Source organism: Homo sapiens, chromosome 12 (assembly GCF_000001405.40).
Source record: "Homo sapiens chromosome 12, GRCh38.p14 Primary Assembly".
Taxonomy (NCBI): domain Eukaryota; kingdom Metazoa; phylum Chordata; class Mammalia; order Primates; family Hominidae; genus Homo; species Homo sapiens.
The window spans coordinates 71109888-71136070 of NC_000012.12; the positions used below are offsets into that span (position 1 = coordinate 71109888).

At 39.1% G+C, this 26183-nt stretch overlaps 1 protein-coding gene and 1 long non-coding RNA gene across 3 annotated transcripts in view, besides 1 other annotated feature; both read right to left on the bottom strand.

The window, feature by feature from the left end:
* Positions 1–328: 328 nt before the first annotated feature.
* LOC124902961 (uncharacterized) lies at positions 329–8698 on the bottom strand. The gene is made up of 2 exons (XR_007063363.1): positions 8183–8698; positions 329–6071 (listed from the first exon to the last, which is right to left on the bottom strand). It is a non-coding gene; the product is annotated as an uncharacterized LOC124902961 (long non-coding RNA).
* Positions 7819–8357: an enhancer, noted in NCBI's record as "H3K27ac-H3K4me1 hESC enhancer chr12:71511486-71512024 (GRCh37/hg19 assembly coordinates)". NCBI's record gives its function as "activates a minimal SCP1, AML or CMV promoter by ChIP-STARR-seq in naive H9 embryonic stem cells {active_cell/tissue: H9 hESC(naive)}" and the evidence as "EXISTENCE:reporter gene assay evidence [ECO:0000049][PMID:30033119]".
* Positions 15209–26183, bottom strand: part of TSPAN8 (tetraspanin 8) — a 32904-nt gene continuing 21929 nt past the window's right edge. For both annotated transcript variants that reach the window (NM_004616.3, NM_001369760.1), the window contains 3 exons: positions 22806–22937; positions 19444–19527; positions 15209–15500 (listed from right to left, as the gene is read on the bottom strand). In NM_004616.3, coding sequence (NP_004607.1) covers positions 15447–15500; positions 19444–19527; positions 22806–22937 — 270 coding nt within the window. In that variant the 3' untranslated portion in view covers positions 15209–15446. The remainder of the gene's footprint in view (positions 15501–19443; positions 19528–22805; positions 22938–26183) is intronic.

Here is a 26183-nt window from a genome sequence, read left to right on the forward strand (position 1 = left end):
AAGCGCTGGCTCGCTTACTCAGCCTGCAGTGCTCAAACCCCTTGAAAGAGGGGGAAGATGTAGGTGAGTGGGTGCAGGAGCTGGGGTGAGTGCCTTTGGGCACCAGCAGGAATAAACTCCTTACCAGCCCACAGCAGCGTCTAGGGGCTGTCCACAGCCTCTAGAGCCCCAGAGGGCATGTGTTACAGTGTGCTGTTTTAGCTTTGCTGTCTACAGACAACTTAAGTGTTAAACAGCTCAGTGGAGAGTCAGTGTGACAGCCTACTGCACCCGCAACTGGGTCCTTGTCCAGTGCCCAAGAGGAATGAGGTCACACGGACTTGAAGGATGGTGAATGTGAAGATTTTATTGAGTGGTAAATGTGGCTGACAGCAGGATGGGGAACTGAAAAGGGGATAGAATGTGCAGGCAGTCTTCCCCTGGAGCTCAGCCAAACTCCTCTCCTTTCACAGTTTCTGATGTCCAGCAGCTTCTTCTCTTCTTGATGTTCAGATGCTTCTCTCTTCCGTGTGTGTATGAGCTGAGTTTGGGGTCTGGAGTTCTTATCGGCACAGGATGGGGGCATGCTGGGCCAAAAGGCAACATTCAGGTGGGAAAACAGGGAAGTAAAGTTCTCATTTAGGGCTGTGGGGCCCAGCTTTAGGGTGGAACCCTTGCCAGGGACTCCACCCTCTTCTACCCAGTATTTTCCAGCCTCCTGTCCATATCAGTAGCAGAGTTTGAATCCTGGCACTACTAATTTTGAGCAACTTACTTAACCTCACTGCATTTCAATTTTCTTATCTGTAAAATGAGCATAAGTTTAATAATAGAATTATTGTAAGAACTGAATGAGTTAATATGCATGAATTCTTTAGAATAGTGCCAAACATATAATAAGTACTATGCTACATGTATTAGTTATTGTAATTATAAGTAAAATATCTATATTCAATGGAATATCTTTATAAAATAAAAATGGATACCATTCTGCAAATGTACTACGATGTTAATAATATATACTTATTGAGCTGCTAATATATTCTAGGTACCATGCTAGGCTCTGGGGTAAAAGTTTAATTCAGCAGATCAGGAGTACCTAGGGAGTTTATAATAAAATGCAGACAACAAAAAGCTAGCCAAATATATTAGGATAAGTGATATTTTAATATAATATGCTATGAAAAACATAAATAAATAAAAAAATTAATTTTATCCTGAATGGATTCAGAAAAGCTTCATACAGTAGGGGACATCAGAGCTAGACCTTGAAGGAATCCAACAACATAAATATGAAAGTCATTCTGGGCATAGGGAGCAACATGGCAAAGATGTGAAGGGATAAGAATAGGAAGTTGAAGGCTCACGGGGTGCATATGGAGGAGGGTCTGCAGAAGAGCAGGGCGTATTAGTCCATTTTCACACTGCTGATAAAGACATACTTAAGACTGGGAAATTTACAAAAGAAAGAGGTTTAATGGACTTACAGTTCCACATGGCTGGGGAGGCCTCACAATCATGGTGGAAGGCAAGGAGGAGCAAGTAACATCTTACACAGATGGTGGTAAGCAAAGAGAGAGCTTGTGCAGGGAACTCCTGTTTTTAAAGCCATCAGATCTTGTGAGACTCATTCACTATCATAAGAACAGAGCAGGAAAGACTCGCCCCTATAATTCAATCATCTCCCACCAGGTTCCTCCCATGATCACAGGGGAATTGTGGGAGTTAAAATTCAAGATGAGATTTGAGTGGGGACATAGCCAAACCATATCACTCTGCCCCTGGCCCCTCCCAAATCTCATGTCCTCACATTTCAAAACCAACCATGCCTCCCCAACAGTCCCCCAAAGTCTTAACTCATTTCAGCATTAACTGAAAAGTCAACAGTCCAACATCTCATCTGAAGCAAAGCAAATGCCTTGCGCCTATGAGCCTGTCAACTTAGTTACTTTCTAGACACAATGGGGATACAGGCATTGGGTAAATACAGCCATTCCAAATGAAAGAAATTGGCCAAAACAAAGGGCTACAGGCCCTAGGCAAGTCCAAAATCCATCAGAGCAGTCAAAGCTTAAAGCTCCAACATGATCTCCTTTGACTCCATGTCTTGCATGTGGGTCATGCTGATGCAAAAGGTGGGTTCCCATGGTCGTGCGCAGCTCCACCTCTGTGGCTTTGCAGGGTACAGCCTCTTTCCAGGCTGCTTTCATGGGGTGGTGTTGAGTGTCTGCAGCTTTTCCAGGCACATGATACAAGCTGTCAGTGGATCTACCATTCTGGGGTCTGGAGGATGGTGGCCCTCTCCTCACAGCTCCACTAGGTGATGCCCCAGTAGGGACTCTGTGTGTGGGTTCCAACCCCATATTTTCCTTCCTCACTGTCCTAGCAGAGGTTCTCCAATGAGAGTGCTGCCCCTGCAGCAAACTTCTGCTTGGACATCCAGCTATTTCCATACATCCTCTGAAATCTAGGCAGAGGCTCCCAAACCTCAATTCTTGATTTCTGTGCACCTGCAGGCTTAATGTCATGTGGAAGCTGTCAAGGTTTGGGGCTTACACCTTCTGAAGTCACAACCTGAGCTGTACTTTGGCCCCTTTTAGTCATAGCTGGAGCGGCTGGGATGCAGGGCACCAAACACAGCATGGGAACCCTGGGCCTGGTCCACAAAACCATTTTTTCTTCCTAGGTCTACAGGCCTGTGATGAGAGGCGCTGCCATGAAGACCTCTGATATGCCCTGGAGACATTTTCCCCATTGTCTTGGTGATTAACATTCAGATCCTTGTTACTTATGCAAATTCCTGCAGCCAGCTTTAATTTCTCCTCAGAAAATGGGATTTTATTTTCTATCACATTGTTAGGCTGCAAATTTTCTGAACTTTTATGCTCTGCTTCTGTTATAAAACTGAATGCCTTTAAGAGCACTCAAATCACTTTTGAATGCATTGCTGCTCGGAAATTTCTTCCACCAGATACCCTAAATCATTTCTCTCAAGTTCAAAGTTCCACAAATCTCTAGGACAAGAGCAAAATGCCACCAGTCTCTTTGCTAAAACATAACAAGAGTCACCTTTGCTCCAGTTCCCAACAAGTTCCTCATCTCCATCTGAGACCACCTCAGCCTGGACCTTATTGCTCATATCACTATCAGCATTTTTGTCAAAGCTATTCAACAAGTCTCTAGGAAGTTCCAAAATTCCCCACATTTTTCTGTCTTCTTCTGAGCCCTCGAAACTGTTCCAACCTCTGCCTGTTATCCAGTTCCAAAGTTGCTTCCACATTACACATTTTTATATATCTTTTCAGCAATGCCCCATTCTCCTGATAGCAATTTATTGTATTAGTCCATTTTCATGCTGCTGATAAAGACATACCTGAGACTGGGAAGAAAAACAGTTTTAATGAACTTACAGTTCCACATGGCTGGAGAGGCCTCACAATCATGGTGGAAGGCAAGAAGGAGCAAGTCATGTCTTACATGGATGGCAGTGGGGCAAACAGAGAGCTTGTGCAGGGAAACTCCCATTTTTAAAACCATCAGATCTCATGAGACTCATTCACTATCATGAGAACAGCACAGGAAAGACCCACCCCCATAATTCAACCACCTCTCACTCCCATAATTCAATCACCTCCCACTAGGTTCCTCCCATGACACGCAGGAATTGTGGGAGTTACAATTCAAGATGAGATTTGGGTGGGGACACAGCCAAACCATATCACAGGGAAAGGTGGAGTTGGTGCTTATGAAGGACCTGGTAGTCAGTAGAGGAGTAACCTTGAGAGAGAGTAATATAACACGATAACATCTGCATTAGATGGATCACTCCTGTAGCACCATGGGAAATGGATATAAAGAAGGAAAAAAATGTAGAAAACCCATCACAAGATCATTGCAATGATCCTTCCTCAGGATGGATTGGGAGAGAGAAGATAGGATGGAAGTGACAGGAAAGCAGAGCAGTGGACAGATTTGAGAAGCATTTGCCAAGCTTTAATATACATATTGTATATCTAAATTAGTACAATTGTACAGTCTTAAGCATAAGATAATTCCTACATTTCTGTGAAATGAAAGCAGCATTTCCATCTACACTGAATTATTAATTTGATGAGAGTTTACTTTTATTTTGTTCTTGCTATATTCCTTAAGTAATTTAATCAAATTTAATATATTTTTAAATATTGTGGCTTGACCTTGGAAACCTGAAGGTAAAGAATGAGCCTATTCTTAAATCTGAGTTTAATGTCCTTCAGGAGAGTAAAAATTTCTCTCATAATTGCCTTCAGTACAAAAACAATTAAGTTAAAGCCTAGGTGAACTATCATAAGCAAATAAATGTTGACATTTAAAAATACAGCAGAAAACCAAACACATTTAAGAAGTTAGTACATGCAGAGATTCTAGTAATGGTAGGGAACTTACTTAAATATCTTTTCAATAACATTTATTATTTGAAGATGAGGAAACTGAGTGACTTGCAAAGGATACAAAACCGGCAAGGAGTCAGAGCCTGATCTAGGACCGACTCCAATCCAATTCACTTTTTAACACGGATTTCACTGTCTCCCGACAAGGATATTTTGTTATTCACATGTGTGATTCTCTAAAGCAGGATCTCTCAATCACAGCAGTATTGACATTTTAGACTAAATAATTCTTTGTTGTGGGCATGTACCTGTACATTGTAGAAAGTTTAGCAGCATTCCTGGCCTCCACCCACTAGATACTAGTAACATCCCCCTGCTACCCATTGTAGCAACCAAAATGTCTCCAGACATTGACAAATATCCCCTGAGAGGCAAAATGACCCCCTCCAGTAAAGAACAACTGTTCTAAGTCCTCTAGACCCCTAAAATATTGTGAACTTGGAGCTAAAATAGAAAGAATCCCAAAAACTCTCATATAATTTTAAATCTCAGTTACACTTTCTGCAATTTTCATATCCTTTTCTCAAAAAGTTCAGAATCTGTTTGCCTACTCTCTAACTCTCAATTTGCTATTACAGTCTTGTTAAAAGAAAAATCACTGACAAGTTAAATTTAACAGAGCTTAATTGAGGAAAGAATAATTCACTGGAGTCAGAGAGACTCCAGCGCAGCCAGGTGGTAGAAGATTTATGGACACAAAGGGAAGTAATGTACAGAAAATGGAAGTGAGGTACAGAAACAGCTGGATTGCTTACAGTTCTGTGTTTGCCTTACTTGAACCGAGTTTGAATAGTTGGCTGCCTTTAATTGGCCAAAACTGAGTGACTGGCACAAGAGTAGGTTATGGTTGGTTTACACACCCAGTTAGGTTACAGTTCACTGTGCACAGAGAAACCTTTAGGTAAAACTTAGACTCTGTAAGAAGGCATCTTTGGGCTAAACTTAATCTAACAGTCTTTTCTTTCTGTCTGCTCTCAGCCCAGTCCTTGCCATTCTCAGCTCTGCTTCGGGTCAGAGGAAACTACATTTTCCAGGGCCACTTGTTTTCTGGTTTCTAGGTGGCCTCAGTCAATGGAAGTCTGAGAGAAGACTGAAGTGGGCGGGAGAGAAGCCAGGGCACTTCTCTCTGTCCTCTCTCTCTTCTTCTGATAATGAGTGCTACGTCTCCATGGCTCCTGTTCCTGTTAGTCTTTCTCTGGAATCCAAGCCATGGTTCATCTTCTACAACGTGGCCCTGGATCCTGGGCTCTGGTAACATTATCTCTGTTTCTCCAGTCCTAAGGGTAGTAGTAACTCCTACTGTTGCTAATCTCTGGTTTACTTTGCCTCCTAATTGTCCTCTTACTTTTTCCATCACCTCTGTAAGCAGTTACTATGGATTGAATTGTTTCCCCCTAAAATTCGTATGTTGAAGCCCCCATTGTGGCTGTATTTGGAGTAAGAAAGTAATTAATGTTAAATAAGGTCATAAGGGTGGAACCCTGGACTGATAGGATTATTGTCTTTATAAGAAGACAAAACAGAGTGTACACTCTCTCTCTCTCTCTTTTTACCTTGTGAAGACACAGCAAGAAGTAGTTCAACTGCAAGCCAGGAAGACAGCCCTTACCAGGAACTGAATAGGCCAGCACCCCGATCCTTGACTTCTCAGACTCCAGAACTCTGAGAAAAAAAATTCTGTTATTTAAGCTACCTAGTCAGGTGTATTTTGTTATGACAGTCCAAGCTAATATAGGAGTTCATTGTTTGAAATAGCTGACGTTTTTCCATCAACCCTGACTAATACAAGTTCTTTATATCATTGATACCATATAATATTTGTTGATCCTGTAATATGTAGCCAACATTATGCAAAAGACATGTTAATATTCATTTTCTCATCTATCCCAATAACACCGTAACATATGACAAAATGGTATGAAGTAAAAAACATGGATTTTGAGTTACTTAGACTGCATCACAACTCCTCCACTTACTAGCTGCATGACCTACGAAAAGTTAAATCTCTCTAGGCCCTGCTTTCCTTATCTGTAAATTGGTCTAGTAATAGTATCAAACTAAGAAGGTTGTTCTGAATTAAATGAGTTACTCTATGTAAAGTACTTAGAATATATGTAGGCATACAGTACACTCTCAATAAATCTATTATTTTTAGCTGCAATTTGTTAAGTGCCTATTTTATGCCAAGCACAGCAATAGGTACTGGAGAAATAAAGACAAATAAAAAACTATCAATGCCTTCAAAGAGTTTGAGGATGCTAACAGAGGCAAACACATGAATGGGTAATTATAATAAAATATGGCAAGTTTATTGATAAATTTATTATGGGAAAGCTAACATGATCAACAGTCAGGGATTGGGACACATTTGACAGGGTTTGATTCCCAGTTCTGCCAATTACTAATTGACTCTGAGCAAGATATCTATCTCCTCTGAGCCTCAATGTTCTTACCTGTGAAATGGGAATGATAATAGTACCTACCTCATAAGGATATAGTGATTAAAAATGAGATAATAAAAGCACAGATTTGGGTATTGTTCCTGGAAGTTGACATGTACTCAAAGAAGGATAGCTTTTTTTTTTTTTTTTTTTTTGAGATGGAGTCTTGCTCTGTCGCCCAGGCTGGAGTGCAGTGGTGCAATCTCAGCTCATTGCAAGCTCCGCCTCCCGGGTTCAAGCGATTCTCCTGTCTCAGCCTCCTGAGCAGCTGGGACTACAGGTGCCCACCACCACGCCTGGCTAATTTTTTGTATTTTTAGTAGAGACGGGGTTTCACCATGTTAGCCAGGATGGTCTCGATCTCCTGACCTCGTGATCCATCCGCCTCAGCCTTCCAAAGTGCTGGGATTACAGGCGTGAGCCACCTCACCCAGCCACTATTTTTATCATTAATACGGAAGCATAGAATAAGGGTGCCTAACCCAGCCCAAAGCTCCCCCAAGTTTCCTACTGCTTGGCAGCCACTCTAATCTGCTTGACAAGAACTGCTCTTAATGTTTCTCCTCCTCAGAAGATGAGACTGAGTCTCTTATACTTTTCCAGTATCAGCATAAATTAGGACAAGAACTTTAGAAAGGCTGGGCGTGGCAGCTCACCCTGTAATCCCAGCACTTTGGGAGGCCGAGGCGGGCGGATCATGAGTTCAGGAGATTGAGACCACCCTGGCTAACACGGTGAAACCCCATCTCTACTAAAAAATACAAAAAATTAGCCAGGTGTGGTGGTGGGCGCCTGTAGTCCCAGCTACTCGGGAGGCTGAGGCAGGAGAAGGGCGTGAACCTGGGAAGTGGAGGTTGCAGTGAGCAGAGATCCTGCCACTGCACTCCACCCTGGGCCACAGAGCGAGACTCCATCTCAAAAAAAAAAAAAAAAGAAAAATTTAGAAAATTTCTTGACAGAATCTATTAAAGCTAAACATATGTATGCAAAGCAGTTCCACTCCTGCATATATAGCCAGAAATGAGTACATATATGTTCCAAATGACATATAAAAGAATGTTTATAGAAGCTTTACTCATAATTGTGACAAACTGAATGCAAACTATATACCCATCAACAGAAGAATGGATATATACACTGCGATATATTCATATGCAATGAAATGCTACATAGCAACTAGAATAAACTACAGCTACATGCAACAAATAGATGAATCTCACACTCAAGATGTTGAGTCAAAGAAGCCAGGGTGCACACTTTATTATTCCATTTAGAGAAAATTCATGAACAGGCAAAACGAGTCTATGTCACAGAAGTCAGAAAAGTGGTTACCTTGGGGAGGAGCCAAGATGTCCGAATAGGAACAGCTCCGGTCTACAGCTCCCAGCGTGAGCGACACAGAAGACGGGTGATTTCTGCATTTCCATCTGAGGTACCGGGTTCATCTCACTAGGGAGTGCCAGACAGTGGGCGCAGGTCAGTGGGTGCGCGCACCGTGCGCGAGCCGAAGCAGGGCGAGGCATTGCCTCACTTGGGAAGCACAAGGGGTCAGGGAGTTCCCTTTCCGAGTCAAAGAAAGGGGTGACGGACGCACCTGGAAAATCAGGTCACTCCCACCCGAATATTGCGCTTTTCGGACCGGCTTAAAAAAACGGCGCACCACGAGATTATATCCGGCACCTGGCTGGGAGGGTCCTACCCTCACGGAGTCTCGATGATTGCTAGCACAGCAGTCTGAGATCAAACTGCAAGGCGGCAACGAGGCTGGGGGAGGGGCGCCCGCCATTGCCCAGGCTTGCTTAGGTAAACAAAGCAGCCAGGAAGCTCAAACTGGGTGGAGCCCACCACAGCTCAAGGAGGCCTGCCTGCCTCTGTAGGCTCCACCTCTGGGGGCAGGGCACAGACAAACAAAAAGACAGCAGTAACCTCTGCAGACTTAAATGTCCCTATCTGACAGCTTTGAAGAGAGCAGTGGTTCTCCCAGCACGCAGCTGGAGATCTGAGAACGGGCAGACTGCTTCCTCAAGTGGGTCCCTGACCCCTGACCCCCGAGCAGCCTAACTGGGAGGCACCCCCCAGCAGGGGCACACTGACAACTCACACGGCAGGGTATTCCAACAGACCTGCAGCTGAGGGTCCTGTCTGTTAGAAGGAAAACTAACAAACAGAAAGGACATCCACACCAAAAACCCATCTGCACATCACCATCATCAAAGACCAAAAGTAGATAAAACCACAAAGATGGGGATAAAACAGAACAGAAAAACTGGAAACTCTAAAACGCAGAGCGCCTCTCCTCCTCCAAAGGAACGCAGTTCCTCACCAGCAACGGAACAAAGCTGGATGGAGAATGACTTTGACGAGCTGAGAGAAGAAGGCTTCAGACGATCAAATTACTCTGAGCTACGGGAGGACATTCAAACCAAAGGCAAAGAAGTTGAAAACTTTGAAAAAAATTTTAGAAGAATGTATAACTAGAATAACCAATACAGAGAAGTGCTTAAAGGAGCTGATGGAGCTGAAAACCAAGGCTCGAGAACTACGTGAAGAATGCAGAAGCCTCAGGAGCCGATGCGATCAACTGGAAGAAAGGGTATCAGCAATGGAAGATGAAATGAATGAAATGAAGCGAGAAGGGAAGTTTAGAGAAAAAAGAATAAAAAGAAATGAGCAAAGCCTCCAAGAAATATGGGACTATGTGAAAAGACCAAATCTACGTCTGATTGGTGTACCTGAAAGTGATGGGGAGAATGGAACCAAGTTGGAAAACACTCTGCAGGATATTATCCAGGAGAACTTCCCCAATCTAGCAAGGCAGGCCAACGTTCAGATTCAGGAAATACAGAGAACGCCACAAAGATACTCCTCGAGAAGAGCAACTCCAAGACACATAATTGTCAGATTCACCAAAGTTGAAATGAAGGAAAAAATGTTAAGGGCAGCCAGAGAGAAAGGTCAGGCTACCCTCAAAGGGAAGCCCATCAGACTAACAGCGGATCTCTTGGCAGAAACCCTACAAGCCAGAAGAGAGTGGGGGCCAATATTCAACATTCTTAAAGAAAAGAATTTTCAACCCAGAATTTCATATCCAGCCAAACTAAGCTTCATAAGTGAAGGAGAAATAAAATTCTTTACAGACAAGCAAATGCTGAGAGATTTTGTCACCACCAGGCCTGCCCTAAAAGAGCTCCTGAAGGAAGCACTAAACATGGAAAGGAACAACCGGTACCAGCCGCTGCAAAATCATGCCAAAATGTAAAGACCATCGAGACTAGGAAGAAACTGCATCAACTAACAAGCAAAATAACCAGCTAACATCATAATGACAGGATCAAATTCACACATAACAATATTAACTTTACATGTAAATGGACTAAATGCTCCAATTAAAAGACACAGACTGGCAAATTGGATAGAGTCAAGACCCATCAGTGTGCTGTATTCAGGAAACCCATCTCACATGCAGAGACCCACACAGGCTCAAAATAAAAGGATGGAGGAAGATCTACCAAGAAAATGGAAAACAAAAAAAGGCAGGGGTTGCAATCCAAGTCTCTGATAAAACAGACTTTAAACCAACAAAGATCAAAAGAGACAAAGAAGGCCCTTACATAATGGTAAAGGGATCAATTCAACAAGAAGAGCTAACTATCCTAAATATATATGCACCCAATACAGGAGCACCCAGATTCATAAAGCAAGTCCTGAGTGACCTACAAAGAGACTTAGACTCCCACACATTAATAATGGGAGACTTTAACACCCCACTGTCAACATTAGACAGATCAACGAGACAGAAAGTCAGCAAGGATACCCAGGAATTGAACTCAGCTCTGCACCAAGCAGTCCTAATAGACATCTAAAGAACTCTCCATCCCAAATCAACAGAATATACATTTTTTTCAGCACCACACCACACCTATTCCAAAATTGACCACATACTTGGAAGTAAAGCTCTCCTCAGCAAATGTAAAAGAACAGAGATGATAACAAACTATCTCTCAGACCACAGTGCAATCAAACTAGAACTCAGGATTAAGAATCTCACTCAAAACCACTCAACTACATGGAAACTGAACAACCTGCTCCTGAATGACTACTGGATACATAACGAAATGAAGGCAGAAATGAAGATGTTCTTTGAAACCAACGAGAACAAAGACACAACATACCAGAATCTCTGGGACGCATTCAAAGCAGTGTGTAGAGGGAAATTTATAGCACTAAATGCCCACAAGAGAAAGCAGGAAAGATCCAAAATTGACACCCTAATATCACAATTAAAAGAACTAGAAAAGCAAGAGCAAACACATTCAAAAGCTAGCAGAAAGCAAGAAATAACTAAAATCAGAGCAGAACTGAAGGAAATAGAGACACAAAAAACCCTTCAAAAAATTAATGAATCCAGGAGCTGGTTTTTTGAAAGGATCAACAAAATTGATAGACTGCTAGCAAGACTAATAAAGAAAAAAAGAGAGAAGAATCAAATAGACACAATAAAAAATGATAAAGGGGTATCACCACCAATCCCACAGAAATACAAACTATCATCAGAGAATACTACAAACACCTCTATGCAAATAAACTAGAAAATCTAGAAGAAATGGATAAATTCCTCGACACATACACTCTCCCAAGACTAAACCAGGAAGAAGTTGAATCTCTGAATAGACCAATAACAGGAGCTGAAAATTGTGGCAATAATCAATAGTTTACCAACCAAAAAGAGTCCAGGACCAGATGGATTCACAGCCGAATTCTACCAGAGGTACAAGGAGGAACTGGTACCATTCCTTCTGAAACTATTCCAATCAATAGAAAAAGAGGGAGTCCTCCCTAACTCATTTTATGAGGCCAGCATCATTCTGATACCAAAGCCGGGCAGAGACACAACCAAAAAAGAGAATTTTAGACCAATATCCTTGACGAACATTGTTGCAAAAATCCTCAATAAAATACTGGCAAAACGAATCCAGCAGCACATCAAAAAGCTTATCCACCATGATCAAGTGGGCTTCATCCCTGGGATGCAAGGCTGGTTTAATATACGCAAATCAATAAATGTAATCCAGCATATAAACAGAGCCAAAGACAAAAACCACATGATTATCTCAATAGATGCAGAAAAAGACTTTGACAAAATTCAACAACCCTTCATGATAAAAACTCTCAATAAATTAGGTATTGATGGGATGTATTTCAAAATAATAAGAGCTATCTATGACAAACCCACAGCCAATATCATACTGAATGGGCAAAAACTGGAAGCATTCCCTTTGAAAACTGGCACAAGACAGGGATGCCCTCTCTCACCACTCCTATTCAACATAGTGTTGGAAGTTCTGGCCAGGGCAATTAGGCAGGAGAAGGAAATAAAGTGTATTCAATTAGGAAAAGAGGAAGTCAAATTGTCCCTGTTTGCAGACGACATGACTGTATATCTAGAAAACCCCATTGTCTCAGCCCAAAATCTCCTTAAGTTGATAAGCAACTTCAGCAAAGTCTCAGGATACAAAATCAATGTACAAAAATCACAAGCATTCTTATACACCAACAACAGACAAACAGAGAGCCAAATCATGAGTGAACTCCCATTCACAATTGCTTCAAAGAAAATAAAATACCTAGGAATCCACCTTACAAGGGATGTGAAGGACCTCTTCAAGGAGAACTACAAACCACTGCTCGAGGAAATAAAAAAGGATACAAACAAATGGAAGAACATTCCATGCTCATGGGTAGGAAGAATCAATATCATGAAAATGGCCATACTGCCCAAGGTAATTTACAGATTCAATGCCATCCCCATCAAGCTACCAATGACTTTCTTCACAGAATTGGAAAAAACTACTTTAAAGTTCATATGGAACCAAAAAAGAGCCCGCATCGCCAAGGCAATCCTAAGCCAAAAGAACAAAGCTGGAGGCATCACACTACCTGACTTCAAACTATACTACAAGCCTACAGTAACCAAAACAGCATGGTACTGGTACCAAAACAGAGATATAGATCAATGGAACAGAACAGAGCCCTCAGAAATAACGCCGCATATCTACAACTATCTGATCTTTGACGAACCTGAGAAAAACAAGCAATGGGGAAAGGATTCCCTATTTAATAAATGGTGCTGGGAAAACTGGCTAGCCATATGTAGAAAGCTGAAACTGGATCCCTTCCTTACACCTTATACAAAAATCAATTCAAGATGGATTAAAGACTTAAACATTAGACCTAAAACCATAAAAACCCTAGAAGAAAACCTAGGCAGTACCATTCAGGACATAGGCATGGGCAAGGACTTCATGTCCAAAACACCAAAAGCAATGGCAACAAAAGACAAAATTGACAAATGGGATCTAATTAGACTAAAGAGCTTCTGCACAGCAAAAGAAACTACCATCAGAGTGAACAGGCAACCTACAAAATGGGAGAAAATTTTCGCAACCTACTCATCTGACAAAGGGCTAATATCCAGAATCTACAATGAACTCAAACAAATTTACAAGAAAAAAACAAACAACCCCATCAAAAAGTGGGCGAAGGACATGAACAGACACTTCTCAAATGAAGACATTTACGCAGCCAAAAAACACATGAAAAAATGCTCATCATCACTGGCCATCAGAGAAATGCAAATCAAAACCACAATGAGATACCATCTCACACCAGTTAGAATGGCAATCATTAAAAAGTCAGGAAACAACAGGTGCTGGAGAGGATGTGGAGAAATAGGAACACTTTTACACTGTTGGTGGGACTGTAAACTAGTTCAACCATTGTGGAAGTCAGTGTGGCGATTCCTCAGGGATCTAGAACTAGAAATACCATTTGACCCAGCCATCCCATTACTGGGTATATACCCAAAGGACTATAAATCATGCTGCTATAAAGACACATGCACACGTATGTTTATTGCGGCATTATTCACAATAGCAAAGACTTGGAACCAACCCAAATGTCCAACAATGATAAACTGGATTAAGAAAATGTGGCACATATACACCATGGAATACTATGCAGCCATAAAAAAGGATGAGTTCATGTCCTTTGTAGGGACATGGATGAAATTGGAAATCATCATTCTCAGTAAACTATTGCAAGAACAAAAAACCAAACACCGCATATTCTCACTCATAGGTGGGAATTGAACAATGAGATCACATGGACACAGGAAGGGGAATATCACACTCTGGGGACTGTGGTGGGGTGGGGGGAGGGGGGAGGGATAGCATTGGGAGATATACCTAATGCTAGATGACGAGTTAGTGGGTGCAGCGCACCAGCATGGCACATGTATACATATGTAACTAACCTGCACAATGTGCACATGTACCCTAAAACTTAAAGTATAATAAAAAAAAAAAAAGAAAAGTGGTTACCTTTAGGGAAATATTTACAGAGAGGGCAGTATATTGGTAAATGTTTATCAACCAGCTCTCCAGAAAAGAAAGAAAAGAAAAGAAAGAAAAGCCCTGAATTTACAGCATTTGTTAGTTTCTATGGCATAAATACTCCGAGCATGGTAGATTTCAAGGTACCAATCTCATGTTACTGAACACAAAGTTGGGAAGAACTTTGTGTACAAAACTTTTGTGTATATGTGTACAATCTGCTTAGCAAGTCTGTGTGAGCCAAATACACCCCACCACTGAGAGGTGGCATGAAGGAGCATTCTGGTGTGCTAGAAATATTCTGTATCTTCTTTTTTTTTTTTTTGGAGATGGGGGTCTCACTTTATTATTCAGGCTGGTCTCAAACTCCTGGGGTCAAGAGACCCTACTGTCTCAGCTTCCCAAGTAGCTGAGCTTACAGGCATGAGCCACTGTGCCCAACTCTGATCTTAGTCCTTACACAGATGTACATATATTAAAAGAGCTATACTTTAAGAATTATCGACTATATTGTATGTATGTTATACTTCTATACAAAGCAAAAATGTTAAATATTTCTGAGAACTAGAAAGAAAAAAAAGTTACAACTGTTGTGTCTGAGAGGAAGATCCAGATGGGTACCAGAGAAGCAATGGCTGGGTGCTGGGCACTCAGACCTTTTTGTTCATACAATAGATATGCAGCAAAAGAGAGACATACTATTAGTAGCTTTGACATAAATAGAAAAGAGATGGTGACTCTTTTACCTGGATCATTGTCAATTATTTTAACATTAGACTTGATTCAGTCTTATCACCAATGGTTGATACATCATATAAAAGAGTGTCGTTTCTGAAAAGCCCCAGATCCACTGTCTTAACTATCTATGGCCCTGTCACCTTAGAGATGATTATTCCACTGGGTGGCTCCAGAAGAACATTTTAAGCACTGTAGCACCTGAATACAATGATCAGACATAGAAAAGCACCAACGTAAACAGTTACTTTTATTTTGAGTAAAAATACACATTCATATCATTTTCCCTTATATCCCTCAAATCTTAAATGTGTTCAATATGTCTAGAAGATATCTGTGGTCTAGCTAGCCGAGACATTTTAAAAAGACAGCTGCTCCTGACTTATATAGCACTTACATATTTAAATTTACAAAGCCAAAGCAACATTTTAAAGGGGTTTGACTGACGATAGGTTGATGCATCCACAGATTCATTTGTTCCCGATCTGGCAATACAGGACCATAGAAAACACCAAACCCAGTATCTAGAGAACAAAATAACAGGATTAACATGGAATTTAAGGGAAAACACTGGACACATTATAAATAAACAGAAAGAACATTATATATGAAAAGATTTTGTATATTGACAGTTCCAATCTTATCTAACTCATCTCTCTTGGGAAATTAGAGGTTCCAATGGGACAAAAGAGCACTGCAAAAGCTCTCTTGAGTTTTTTTTGTGTTTTAATCAGCTTTTTTAGCTGGCCAATCAGCCTCTATCTAACTGGCCCCATATAAACTGCACAGTAGCAGCTGCCACCAGAGGACCTACTCCCTTTTCTGGAACACACACATTCTTCTGCAGAGCGTCTCCTCTGGAGCACTGGGGATCTCAGGTCCCTGGGGGCTAAATATACGTAATGCTTCCATAAAAAGGTTATGATCATCTGGTTTAAATCATCTGCATAAAAATCAAGAAGTCTAGAATTTCTCTTGCTGTAGTTTTAGGCATTTCCAAGAGGAATAAAAAATGAAGTAACTCTTTTTTTAAAAAAGCTTCTAAACTATGGGGAACAGCTTAATTCAGGAATTTCTTTTGAAGTGAAAAAGCACAGCTGAAAATCTGGGGCATAATTTCCATCTCAAGTAGCTCTCCCAAGAATGAGGGACCCCAAAATTTGCTCTAATTGGCTCTACAGTTGGTGACTTGCATGCTGTATCTTTGACGTAGAAATGATAGACAGGACCTGTGTGCATTACCAATAGAAAGTTTCCTCCCCCACCAGCCCCTTTTGAAGGGAGGATGGAGGAAGGCAAAGTGACATTTATGCTGAGTCAACTTAAATGCTTCTACTGTGTTGAGACTTTCTGCTTACTAACACTTTCCTGGAAATGTAATTCAAATGAGAACTGCTAACCAATCTTTCTTCCTTCTTAAAAAGGTTGACACCAATTCTCTGCAAAAGTAATAATTTCCATTCAAAATGTGCTACAATTGAAGACTGAAATTTAGTCTTTTTGTCTTGATCCTGAGCCTTAAGTCTGTGGGACAAGTATCAAGAAAGAATTTTTTTAATGGGGAAAAAATAATGGGATAAGACAACTATCATCTTTCACTGCTACATCCTTGAAATAGAAGCCGTCAATTTATCAGCAGACTAGATAGTTAATATCACACTTTCTTGTATTTCATTGTCCCTGAAAAGAACATTTATGATTGTTCAAAAAAAAGCACATAATTAAAAGAGATTTGTCATTTTATAATGTACGCCAAGACTCATGATAAATTTGCTAAGAGGTATGCAGCAGTCTAAAAAAATGTAAAATTATCATTTTTCTTTTAACTGCTTTATTTCTAGGACCTCCTGTTGGGATAACTTTTATCCTACAAAGTGATGGCTCTCAGTGTGTAGCACTTTTTTTTTTTTAATTAAAGCAAGGAAAGTGCTGATCATCTTTTGTGCTTGTAAGTTGTTATAGTCAAATGAGGAGAGTATGATAGTCTGGCTGTTTTAAGCTAGAGTAATGAGAATTCCAAAAATGTCTATAGATAAATTTTTCTTGCAGAATAAGGTATTCTGCACAATCTTTAGCATCCAATGTGAGAAGAATCCCTTAGGTATATAGTCTTAACATAGCTTTGAAAACAAATATTGGCCCACCTCACTAAAACCTATGCCTAAACATACTAACATAAGGTCTAAATATGGGGCGGTCTTTTTTTATATGATATTTTTCTGTGGAGATAATCTGAACATATTTTCTGCAGGAAGACATTTGCTTCTGTTTTCTTAAAAGTATTTTTTAGAGGAGATTTTCTGTTTCTGTATCTTTGTGTTTTTTTGAATTTGAACTTTGGAAACAAAGAAGGGAGATAGGCCTAAGTCATAGGGCAATAGGAAACTTGTACTAATGACTGTAAGATGAGCTATAAAATGCTTTGTTTTTGGATACATAATTTATAGACTGGGTGTCAGAAGACTTTTCCAATCTACTTTTTGAATAAAGGAAGATGGAATATAAAATGATTTGTTTCCCTTAAAAAGAGGGAGGGCAGGTTATAGACTGAGGAACTGAACAATTTTAAAAAGTTCAAACAATTATTTGAACCAACTATTTACCATATCTGCAGAGAGTCTAGAAATCACAATTAATTTGACTTCTCGAATTCAAAAACGGTTCTGTTTTATGATAGTAACGCAAAAACTTCATACCTATAAATTACTGTATAGAATGTTTGTATTAAGCTATTTTTCTCTGAATATGTCTTTAGAAGAACAAATAAAATATTTAAACATGTAATTAATACATGGAATATAACAATTTCATAAAATACTGAAATACATTAATCTTTTTGTAATCTTATTTTCCACTAGATGTATTTAAATTCTTGAAAATGCCTTTGACTATGACACAAAGGATTTCATCAACCTCCCCAATCAAGTATGTCCTTACTTTTTCTGGTTTTGCTAACTGAGGAGCATCTGTGATTTGAGCTAGTGATAGTCAATTGTCAGAACTTGAGTCTAACATGAAATATAACTCTTATATTAAATATCTCATTTAAAGCATGCTCTCTCATTCACTTAAATCATTCATGTAAAATCACTCTTGATTCATTTAAATCATTCATTTCTTACTCATCTTCATGGCCATTAGTCCTTATTTCTAAATTAGCATAAACCCAGAATACAAAGCAGAGAAATAAAATACATCTTACAAAATGCAGAATCAAGAGAAATAGACCTAATCCATAGCACCATTTGACTCTGAACATATATCAGACCTAAAGAAAGACAGCCATAACCTACCAACAAAGAATGCTTCATATTTATACCTATTCATCTGGACTACAAGAAAGTAATAACCCACAGTTTAATTTGCTGCTAATAGTCCCTAACCTTTCTCTAATAGCTGCCTGGGAAATTCCACCAGCAAACTAAATAACCACTTAGGACACTAAATTGCTTCATTCCCAGTTAAAATTTCTTTCTGGCAGTGATGTGGCACGAGTAAGAGGTAGAAAATTACCAGAAAGCCCAAGGAGTACCTTGCACAGCATTCCATGAGTGTGAAGCACAAGGCACTCAGCTGAGCTAACCAGCTCTCACAGGCATTAACCAGGGAGACACTTCACATTCTTGCTAATGCCCTGGAATAGGATTGTGAGTGAATTTGATCTACTTGATATTAAAATTACCCAAGATCTGGGATGATTCCAAAATGCTTCTCTGAAGCAGTTTTAATTCATTTTCTTGGCAAAGATTTTTAGGCCATGTGAAAAGTATCTTTCAGGTTTTTTTTTTTTTTAAAAAAAAAACATGCCAAGAAAGTTCATCAAGACAAAAATCCTATGTGGGATATTTTTCCAACATCAATAATTAAAGTGATGAAAGTAATACATAAGCCTCAATTTTCCTTGAAAATTTCTCCAAGTGAGTCAATAGTACTTAAGCTGAGGAAATCAGAGACAATTACCTCTACTTTTTAGAACTTCTTGGATTTCTCTAGAATGTAATAAGTAACAAAGAAAGAGCTCCTCACACTCTTGAGTTCAGTTTTTATTTTCTGTTTCAAAATCAAGATGAGAAATAAGAAATTGTAAAGGTCGTATTTTGCTTTGTTTGGTGCTTTTTCTTCTAACTTTGGAAAACTGTAACCCCTGTGCTAGTTTTCAGTGGGAAAAATATACCTGGCACTAAGAACTATGTGAAAATTAATTCTATCTTTTTCCCGGTAGAGAGGTCATTCAGAAGCAAGAATCTCAACCCTGCTCACTTCATAAGACTGGAATCTCCCCCTCAGACTCAGGCTGATCGAGGGAGATGATGGGCCTTTAGCATCCAGTGCTTTTCTAAAGCATCTGCGTTTTTTATGGTTGTTGTGGTTTTTTTTTTTCTGTTTGTTTGTTCACCATCAATATTTCTTGAAATTAATGAACAAGCAAGGGAATAAAAGAGTCAATAATACAAGATTATACTGTACCTCAATAACTGCCAGTCCAAATGATATTCCAATAACTATAATCAAATTTTTTGCCAAGAAGTCTTTTATGAAAGAAATACAGGTCTGTTAAAAAAAAAAAACATTAAAAGTTACCTCTCAGAAAAATTCGACCTTATATTAATCAAAATTTTTATTAATCTGGTTGACTTTTTACATTGCTATCAAGAAACACACTTAACGACAAGGAACTGGGTTATTCCTTCCACTCCCTGCTTCACCTTTGCTCCAAAAGGTTGTAACTGTTGTGGTTTGTTTATACATTGAAAAGCAATTGAGGAACAAAATTTTGCTTGACTGCCTAATTGTTGAATCTAGGGATTAATAATTACAAATAATAATTTTTCACCAACATATCCTCAAATGACAGATTTTATAATTTATACTATAAATTTTATAGCTGATAAAGCTATATATTTTACAACATAAAAGTATAAATCATAATTTTATCTTAACTTTATTCATTTTAGAGCTGATACCACCTTGACTAAGGATTTTTTAGGTTTGTAATCTAAAACAGAAAGGTTTCTGGTTGAGATTTTAGATAATAATATTGTAAATTTTCATTTTTAAAACAAGGTATTTTCTTTTTTTCTTTCTTTCTTTTTTTTTTTTTTTCTTTGAGACAGGGTCTCCCTCCAGCGCTGAAGCTGGAGTGCAGAGGCGCAATCTTGGCTCACTGCAGCCTTGACTTCCTGGGCTCAAGTGATCCTCCCACCTAATCCTCCCAAGTAGCTGAGACTGCAGGCATGTGCCACCATGCCTGGCTAATTTTTGTTGTGTTTTGTAAAGACATGGTTTTGCCATATTGCCCAGGCTTGTCTTGAACTCCCGGGCTCAAGCAATCCACCGGCCTCAGCCTCTGAAAATGCTGGGATAACAGGCTTGAAGTCACTGCTGCCGGAAAAAACAACATATTTTCAAAATCCCTTAATATTTATCAGGGTTATTTTTATCTTAAAAAGAAAAAACTTACTATGTCTACCACTATGCCATTACTTTAGATAAAAAAGAGAAATTAGGAAGTTGCCTCTCTGCTACATTTTTGAAATGTATACAATCCAGGATGCATTTTCATGCTTAAAACATTTTGGACTAGACCTAATAACTTCAAGAATTGTAAATTATGTGAAGAATTTTTTAAATGGAAAAAGACTACACAGTATAATTGTGTTATTTTTGTACTGCCCTGAAATATATTATCCCTTTGATGGTCATATATGTGCAAAGGGCTAACAAAGTATTGCTATTTGTTAAATAAAATAAAATTTCTCCAGAAGGCTAAGTCATCTTTCCCCTTCATTCCTGAATGTATTGAGTTTCTTCATTCACATTTAACCCAACGTGGTAAACATTCAAGGAAATTATTATGTCATTTAGGTTAACAATGAGATTAATGATTATATCTACTGAGTCACATTCATTATGTTTCAGGGGTTTTTCTCTTCCTCTTTGCCTAAGATAATGAGGGTATCTTGGCAAAAGGAAGAGGAAAAAAAAGAAATGTGAATTATGGCCATTCCATATTTTTTATTTTACCAGACTTCTTGCAAATGACACATGGCAGATGGAAGTATTTTATGAATTTACAACCTTCCTTTTGGGAAACTGGTGTAGCTATCAGCCTATATTCAGCTGAATTATGTGTGAACTTACAGAAACTATCTAATAGTTTTTTTAGAATAATTCCAGGGGCTTTTCAGAATCTGTCTTGAGGAAAAACATCTTTCAGTTGAATTTGAACAGGAGACAAATAGCAATCTGCAATTGAATTTACTTATTTCCTCATTATCCTAAGTGGAAACTATTTTTATTTACTCTATATTTATTTCCCCTTTTCCTTGTAAATACTGTGTCACTAACATTAGGTAGGGAGGAGGGGAGCAGGGAGAATATAAAAAGTAAGAATCAAACTTTTTTTAGTAATATTACTTTGACAATGAAAAACGCAATATAACCTGTAGTCTGGTAGATTATTTATTGAGTTACTTTAAATCTTAGCGACATACTTTAAGTATTAATGACAGCAATTCCCCTTCAGGGCAGAGCCTCTTTAATTTTGATAAGATCAGTGAAAAAGATCAGTAGTCAAGGAAAGGGTAGTTTCCCCTGAGATACTTTCTATTTCCTTTTATAAATTATTTTCAGTAGCAGTTACTAAACCAAAACATTTCTAGATTGAAAAGAATCTTCGGGTATTATAGATATTAATATTAATTCATTGTGATTTATAGTGGTTTTTAATGTATCTGCCTCTCAACTAGATTGTAATCTCCTAGAGGATCCAGAAGCATGTCTGATCCTAGCAAGGGTCTGTCTGACATGTAGTAGGCACTGAAGAATAACAGTAAATAAATGAAATACTAATATCAATTGTAATTTTTGTACACATTTCTTCTAAGCAGAACGAACAACTTATGAAGGGACAGATGTCATGTTCTTCATGAAGCCATATCCTGAACCCCACAGACTAAGTGAGATGGGGTCCCATAACACCTTGCACCCATCTCTATCCAAGAGATACTAGTAGACCATTGGATTGAAGTTGCCTAACTATCTTTCTCTCTTCCTTACTTGAGCATCAGCTCCATGAGCGCAGACATTGTGCTCTGTTCAGGAATGAATTCCCGGTGACTGGTAGAAAGCTTGGCGCATAGGAGGTGGTCAGTAAGTATTTGATGAACTGATCAATAAGAAGAACTAGGACATCCATGTATTGACATTCACAAGTCACATAAATATGACATCTACAACACATAAAAGATTAACCTATCTTTTTCAATTGACATTAAATGTTCAAGGTAACTTCTCAATTGCAGCAATAACTAGGTAAATTGGTAGCTGTCAGTAACATAGAGAACCTAAACCCTTAAATGTATTTGGGAAGGACTTGGAGTCCTTTCTTTAAATTTTGGGAAAGAAGAAACCTCATTTCTTGAGAAAAGGAAATTTGATTAGAAAACAAAAAACATTGAAAATTGTAGTGAAAATATTGTTTTCTAGAACTTATGTTAAAGTAGGAAAAAATAAAAGAGAATAATGATTAAGATGACCAAAGAGAGGATAAAATAAACTTTTATGTTAGTTTGTACTTTGCCTCCCATTGCAGTAGAATGTTTCTTTGACCTATTAATATTGGGCTTAAATGATGCCAGACTCATAGAAGAAATGAAGTCTATCTGCTTTTATCTTTAAATAAGGATTTTTTTAATTTGGGAAATTTCTGAGATTTTTATATCATGATTCCCATGGTACTCCATGCATTTTAATTTTTTGTAGGGACTTTAATTGTGAAAAGAAAGTAACAGAATTGCTTATTGTACCAAATGTGATTTAGTTCTCACCTCTTTGTAAACTTGTTTTCCATTATAGCTTTGGCATGGTCTCTGCTTATCTAGACAGGCACATAATTCAGGATAGTGTTGAAAATTATTTCCCCAATCAGCAGCTCCATTGACCAAACCGCAGCATTTAAACTGTTTGATAAAAGGTAGAATGAGAAGCAGTCAGTAAGAAGATTAAAAACATTGGCAATACATTAAATTATAATCTTCTGAAATCATTATTAAAGGTTATTATGCTAAAATACCATGTAAGTCACCTTTCACCTTTCTCTGTGTAGAAGTAAAAATTAAGGATTTTTGCATTTTGATCTTTACATTAATGATGGAAAAATGGAGTTGCAGACTCAAAAATCTGAAGAAGTTGGGAAGATGAAAAACTCACCTACTAGGTTTTTTATTTTTATTTTTTTGAGATGGAGTCTTGCTCTGTCACCAGGCTGGAGTGCAGTGACGCGATCTCGGCTCACTGCAACCTCCAACTCCCTGGTTCAAGGGATTCTCCTACCTCAGCCTCCCGAGTAGCTGGGATTACAGGCATGCTGCACCACCACGCCCAGCTAATTTTTGTATTTTTAGCAGAGACCGCGTTTTACCATGTTGGCCAGGATTGTCTCAATCTCCTGACCTCGTGATCTGTCCACCTCAGCCTCCCAAAGTGCTGGGATTCCAGGCATAAGCCACGGTGCCCAGCCTCACCTACTAGTTTTTAATGACAAAAGAGAGTCAGATCTCTGTAATTTAGATATTGTCAAAAAAGTTTCCAAAGAATTCACAAGAGAGTCAAAGAATTGTTGCTCAAAAGAGACATGAAGTTTTAAAAGTGAAATTTCCACTCCATGATCTCTGATCACTTTTGAAAGACAGGAGGAAAAAAATGAGAGATATTGCAAAGACCCAAATAGATGCTCAAGGAGCCTCCCATAAGATTGAATTTTATGAACATCTTTAAAATATGGGAGGGAACACAAATGAAGAATGAAGCTCTTAGAATGTCAGGAAAGTTACAGTCCCAGAATAAACTGATCCATGGAAAACACTAAAAAAGAGGGTTTGCAGCCACATTTGAGGAAGAAAAACAAGGAAATGATAACCCCAAGAATCAGGGCATGTGGCACATGATATTATTAGATGGGAGAAAGAAAGATAATTATCCCTCATGTTGCTTCCATCTGCTCAATTAAGGGGAAAACACTTCGTGCAGAAATGGGAGGAAAAAAAAATGGCTGAGAAAAACAGAACCAAGACTGAGTGGTTTTCCCAGCTCTGATACATTGCAATGCCAAGATATTGAAAGAATTTTCACTTACTGGGCAGGTAATCATTAAATTTATTTATTACATTAATAATAAATGTGTAATAAAATCATTTATTACACATTAGTTTAACCTCTGTGCCAAAGTTTGTTCATCTGTAAAATACAGATAGTAACAGTTGCTAATAATAGCATTTAATTTGCAGATTTATCATAAAGATAAACATAAGAAAATCCATGTAAAGATAAGAACTCCCAGGTTGAAGAAAGCACTCAATAATGCATTTGCTTTTATTGTTTTTGTTTTCATTGTTTGCTGTTGGTGTTGTTTCTGTCATGCTCTCACAGGAACATGATCTGTTCAGCATTGTTATCAATGATTTGAATAAATAGAAAAAAATATCTTTCCAATTCTGTAGTTTCTGTAGAGCTAGGAATGACAATTAATATGCTGGAGATCAGAGTCAAATTTCAAAGATAGTTCAAATAACAGAGATAAACTAACAAATTCAACTGAGGCAGATACGAAGTCTTGTACTTATGTCCAAAGACTGAGTTACACAAAAACATTACTCAACAGATGTTTATATGACAAAGAGCTGGAAATTTCAGTTTGTTTCAAGGTCAGTACTAGCAAGGAGGGTGCTCTTGAAACAACCTCCTTTCCTGTTCCCATGGTAGACATGATTAATTGTTTATTCTTTCTGATTACATAATCTTGAGTAGTATTCACTGATACAGATACCCTCTGTCAAATGTAAATTAAATTCCACTATAAAATTTATATTCTCATTTACAGATCGGTTCATATTTGGAATATTGTAGACCTCAGGACTCCTTAGGGAGGCATAAAGTCATACTCATAGATGAGAGGGTAGAAGTTAGGAAGGTTAAAACTTGTCACGATATCAAGTCACTACATCAGAGATAAGAGCAGTTAAAGAAGAAGCTGGTCAGGACTTGTTGACAGTGGTGTAACAGCTGGATGAAAAAGGCAGTAGGCACTAATGATACAACGCCTCTAGACAAATAATAATGAGCAAGAATCCGAAAGGGGTGCATTCCATCAGTATGTTAACAGGGAATTTGTGCGGGAAATCCCTGAAATCCAAAGAGAAAGCCACTCAGCATCTGTAGCTTTTGTCAATGTGTTATGGGACTCCAGGTCATCCAGCCAGAGTTTGTGGTGGTAGGATTCTTTTCCCAAAGAAGCATAACTTATAAAAGAAAGCATAGTGGAGATGGAGGAGGAGGATAAGGATGAGGAGGAGGAGGAGGAAGAAGAAGGAGGAGGAGGAGGAGGAGGAGGAGGTAAGAAGAGGAGGAGGAGAAGGAAGAAGAAGAAGAAGGAGGAGGGGGAGGGGGAGGTGGCACAGGGAAGAGGAGAAGGAGGAGGAGGAAGAAGGAGGAGAAAGAAGAAGAAGAAGGAGGAGGAGGAGGAGGAGAAGGGGGGACAAGAAGGGAGAGCAGGAGGAAAACAAGAGGAGGAGGAAGAAAAAGAATCAGCAGAAGAAGCAGGAGAAAAAAGAAGAAGGGGAGGCGGAGGAGAAGAAAAGGAAGAAGGAGGAGGAGAAGGAGGAGAAGGGGAAGGAGAAGGAAAGAAGGAGAAGAAGGAGGAGAAGAAGAAGACTCATAATGGAAATTTGAAGAAATATAGTCCTAGGAACACAAGGAACTTCAGGCACAGGATTTCTTTACAAGAGCAAGAGCACTTCAGGAGAACATGCTACAACAAACAGCACATTTAGAAACCCAGGATTGGCATGGAGACCTTGAATCCAGGGATACGTGCAGCAGATGTTACTAGGACCCAAACCAGAGGCTCAGTGATTACCTCTAGTCTATTTTGTCCTAGGTCATCACCCTGGGAAGGGTCTGGGATGCTCAGCCCCACCCAGCAGAGGTACTGAGGCTGCATAAATTCTTCCTTCTTTAAGCCTGTTTTAAGCTGGGCTCTAGAGTAAGAATGATCCCGGAAAGAAGAGAGTCAAAGGATGCAGCTACAGGGGAGCTAGGAAAAGCACATCAGAAAGGAAGTTAAACAGGGACTGACCCATATCAGGTTTCAGCTTTCGGAAATGATGCTTTAAGCACAATTTTTACAAGCTGGCATCTACCCAAATAGG